The sequence below is a fragment of the Homo sapiens genome, chromosome 5 (assembly GCF_000001405.40).
Source record: "Homo sapiens chromosome 5, GRCh38.p14 Primary Assembly".
Taxonomy (NCBI): domain Eukaryota; kingdom Metazoa; phylum Chordata; class Mammalia; order Primates; family Hominidae; genus Homo; species Homo sapiens.
This window is the reverse complement of record NC_000005.10, coordinates 66,534,409-66,539,554: the sequence shown is the minus strand read 5'-3', so window position 1 is coordinate 66,539,554 and position 5,146 is coordinate 66,534,409.

The following is a 5,146-nucleotide window of genomic DNA, read 5'->3' as shown; positions in this document are numbered from 1 at the left end:
AAGTATTTGTTGACTACTTGATTCAGCCTAGTCTTTTGGCTTGATGAACTGCTTTTGAGCCTCAGAAGACTGGGGTGAGCCAGAAGCTCAAAGGTTTATTTGTTCATTAACGCAAAGCAAAATGAAATGAAACAAAGAAATATAAAACCTGTAATGAGACTTGGAACATAGACAGCTGCTTCAGGGCCTAGGAAGCAAAATGGAGCTCAGCCTTGGGCTGAGGGTGTTCTTGAAGGCTGGGCCATCTGAGGGCTTGGGGCGGCTCCCAGAGCAAGAAGCCTTTGTCCAGTTGGAGAGTGTTCTATTACAAAGCAGCAGCAGCAGAAATACTGGTAAGAATACCAGAGAGACATGAAGAGATGCTGAACTGCTGCAGCGCTGTGATTTCAATATTAATGTGACCTTGTCTCTATCCACAGACATCTGGGACAATTAGGTTACACGTATAATATACAATAACACTGAACTAACGAGAAGAAGTAAGAAAGCATGTTACCTAACTTGTTCCCAGTGTTACAAAGGAAGTAATTTAAATCTTTGGCAAACCTGGTTTAAATGCTTGCAGATTCAAAGCAGTATAGTGATTGTCAGGCCCAATAGCTAGCTATCTGTTGATGTTAATGGTTTGGGAATTAGGCAACCCTAGAAAAATCAATTCCTATAGTTTTTTTTTTTCCATAGAAGCTGCAGTCTCTTCTATAAGATCAGTAGATAGAGAACATTGAAGCTGACAGGCTTCACGTCCATCTTGAACAGTGGTCAACATGTATTTAGTACTTGTACAGTGTGAATCACCGATTCATTCCAGACATATTTATTGAGTGACTACTATGTGTCAGGAATTATGCTGGACACTGATAGTCATTAGAATCAGGTAGACTGGGTCAGGCTCTCTAAAGCCTCTCTATCCAATACAGTAGCCACTAGCCACACGTGGCTATTTAGTTCAATTCCTTAGTCACACTTGTCCCATTTCAAGTGCTCAATAGCCACACATGGCTAGTGACCACTGGTTGGGACACCACAGATACAAGGAGAGTGGAATACAAGGTCCTGCCCAAGTCTTAGTGCTGGGCTTTTTCTTCCTGTTTCCATCTCCCCCAGGGCATCAAAGCCTTCATCATCTTTGAGGGTTGTTGGTGCTGTCATGAATGTCTTGGACCATGGTATTAGCAGTAGGTGTCTTTGTGGATCATTTTGAATAGGTGTCAGTACAATCTTGAGACAGACAGAGGCCTCCTTGGCTGAGTGCACCATGAATAATATGCAGGCCTCTAGAAAGCCACATCCTCTTTCCAATTCCATTTTTATGGTATAAACTCTGGGTATGGTGTAAAACCCTCATACTTTCCTGATTAATTCTTTAAAAAAAAATCTGTATAAACAGATTAAACAATTAATCTGTTTTTACAATTAATTGTTAGATTAAACAATCTGTTTAAACAAATTTTTAAAAAGTTTAAAAAACAAAAAACACACCAAGAACATTGACAATCTCTTGCTTTTCTTTTGCTCGCATCTTTCTGCTTGAGGCAGTGTGGACGCCTCTGCCTGAGAGGAGGAAAGTCACTTACAAGGACAAGAAGAAAACAAAAGCACAAAGATTAATATTTCAAAATATTATCTTTCTACATCAAAATAGTTGAAAACATGGTTTTTGCCTCCAAGTTGCCTATATAACTGAGAAAACATGAAAAATAAGGAAATTCATGAAAAGTTAATAACCATAAAGAATAAAGTAACAACATTAAAGAGAAACAAAAAAGATGTCACCTGGCTCTACAGATTAATAGCAGTGGGGTGGTATAGACCCTAAGTGTGGCTTTTCAGGGAAACATGAGGATATCTGCAAGGAGAGGTAGAATTTCAGGTGGGGAAACACGATAAGCAGAAGTGTGGACATGGAGGGTAAGAATTGTTTAAGATACAAAGAGTTTGACTGTCACACAGGGTGAGAGGAACTAAAGCTGAAAAAGTAGGCTGAGGAAATATCACGGAAGACGGTGGATGTCAAGCTGAAGAGTTTGTTCGTTATCCTGTAGAGGGATGGGGGTGGAGGTGTCATTGAACAATTTGAATAGGGAAGTGACATAGCTAAAGCAGTTTCATGACATTGACTCTAACATTGAACCCTAGCAGCAATGTTTGGCTATTCAGATGTCCTGATGCCAAGGCAGGCTGGAGACAGGAGAGTGGTTAGGAGGTGATTGCAGGGAGTAGGCATGAAGTGACACTGGCTGGGAACAGGGTTGATGGTGTGACAATGGCAGGGGAGTGATGAGCACGCATAGCATATTGAAGGAAAAATCAACAGGGCTTTGATTCTTTGGAGCTGAGGGAGAGAAAGAAGTCAAATATACTATTAACTTGGGCAAATTACTTAGCATCCATAAAATAGTGATAATAGCTGTGTTTTACAGGTTTGCTATGTGATTTAATGAAAAGACCTTCATAAAACGCAAGAAGTCTCTGGCATACAAATGTAATTTAAGTCTTTGTTTGGAACTCCGATGGCCTAGAACTATCCTCCTCATTCCAACAGTCAGGATCCCGGGAAAGCAGATTCAGCTGCAAGGGCAAGACAAATGCCCCTTCCTTCCTTATGGGCTGGGAGACGTTGTGCTTGCAGGACAGATCCACAATTCTGATCACTTCTTGCTCACGCAGGACTGATATCCTCTTAGTAGCACCCTCAGTGATGGTCTCAGGCTGGAACTCCCTGGAGTATAATAAAACTTGCTAGAACATGCTGGGACTCTCTGCTGTATTTCCGAGCACGTCTGAGGTTGAGGTCTCTTTCTAAAGACTTCTGAGGCCTCTCCCATAACAAATAAAGGCCCACAGCACAAAATCCTGATGTGCTTGTCCCTGTTATTACCCCAAACATCTAGAAGCATTCTATAGACCACCTCAACACCTGTTTTCCCTCTGTTTCTAATGATAGCTAATAAAATAGTGCTTACATTTTCATATACTGCATAAAGCCTTAACATCTAATATTGATGCATATGCCTTAGATTTAGAACAAAAAATAGAAAATAGTGCTACTACAATGCTACCTATCATTTTCTAAAAAGAAAACAAGAAAATATGAGTAGGAAATTATTTCTTCTATCATTTTGAATACCATGTTTGAGAAAGGGATGGTTAAATTAGTAGAAAGCAAAGGAGCAGATGAATAATATTTTTTTGGTAAAATTTTTGTAAAAATTATGAAGGAAATCTTTCAAGCACTTCCAAGTGCTCTAGAAATGGAAGGTTCTGAGCTTTTATTATAATACAGTTTTTTTGTTTTGTTTTGTTTTTTGTTTTTTGAGACAGAGTCTTGCTCTGTCGCCCATGCTGGAGTGCAGTGGCATGATTTCAGCTCACTGCAACCTCCACTTCCTGGGCTCAAGCAATTCTCCTGCCTCAGCCTCCTGAGTAGCTGGGATTACAGGTGAGCACCACCACGCCCAGCTAATTTTTTGTATTTTTACTAGAGATGGAGTTTCACCATGTTGGCTAGGCTGGTCTTGAACTCCTGACGTCAGGTGATCTGCCTGCCTTGGCCTCCCAAAGTACTGAAATTACAGGCATGAGCCACCACGCCCAGTCTTTTACTATAATACATTTAACTGAAATCTCTGCCCCTCGTTTTTATTTGAAACAGGTGTATCTAAGCAGGCTACAAGGATACAGATATCTGTGTGTGTACACACATATATTCGTACATATAAACACACACATATGAACGTAGATACTTGTAAAAGGCAAACAGGATGGGAAAAAGAGGATAACATGGCAAAAGAAAATTTTTTCTGAGATGACTAGAAAATGAGGGGAAGAGGGGAAAGTTAAAAAACAACATGTGTGTATAGGAGAGGTAATGAGTTAATCTGTGGATATCAAAAAACAAAAGAGAACAAAAAAAGAGGATAAAGACATGAATCCACCACCAGGAGATGTTTCCAACCCAGCACAGCTTGTGATGCTCTAATAAATGAGACCCAAATGCTGGGGCCGTGTGGCTGTTCTGAGGCAAGAGGAAAAGCAGCGTCCCACTAATTATATGAATGTTGAAAAGTCTAAGTTTGTAACTTGGAGAGTGTCTCTATTCTGGAAACTAAAGATGAATCAACACAAATCATAAGTTGAATTATAAATAACTGGTGCCTTTCCATTCTTTTTCAAGGGACCTATTGTCTCTTACTGCTCTGGTTGGACAGAAAGTGCCACTGAGGTACCCACTACAGCATCACTCCCAGACATATACTCACTTCCCTGGGCCCATCAGAATATTCCTATCAGCTGTCCTCTAATTTCAGAACAAGTTCTAAGTGATGCTTTGGTGAACATACTCATGCAAATATGAATGGAAGTATAAATGAGTTAATCTGCCGTAGCACGGTCCCTCCATAGACCATGCCAAGGGGCATAGCCATACAATCTAAAAATCTGGGAATATTTTGCCCCTTTTCAACTTAATTCTCAGAGAATCAAACTGCTGACAGCTCCTGGACTGGGTAGTTGTCTCCATTATGCCAGGACTGAGGGGCTCCTGGACGTGGAACTTTCAGTATTAAAACTTGGAGAATCCTGGGCAAATTCAGACAATTGGTCACCCTAATATTCCTTCCCACCTAGGTCAGATCCTGACTTGAGTGAAGAATGTCAGGAAAGGATACCAATCTACCATCTACACCCTGCTGGATCTTTAGCAAGAAGTAGTAGAGCTTTATACACATACACACTACCAAGTCTTTACTTTTACCCATTGTCTTACCTCCACCCCTAGACATTTCTGTAGTAACATCAAAGGCAGGTTCAGTTACTTAATAGCATCAGCCCAAGTTAAACAGGCCCGTCAGAAATCATACATAGAAGGCTACAAAAGCATCTCATATATTTTATAATGCAGAATCTACAGGCCCTACAAGTTACAAGTCTCTGTGGTTAGTAATAGCACTAATAGATAGGTTTATAAAGTACAAGGCTGGCCATAGGCAAAATTATAATTTTTTTTTTTAGGTGTCCCAAGCCCATCACTTTCTTCTCTCAAACAGAACTGGAGTGCTTCCTACACTTTCTTCCTTATAGTAAAACCTGTTCCCAGGGAAATAACTAATACCAGCAATTTACTCATTAGTGTGAATGAAGTGGTATC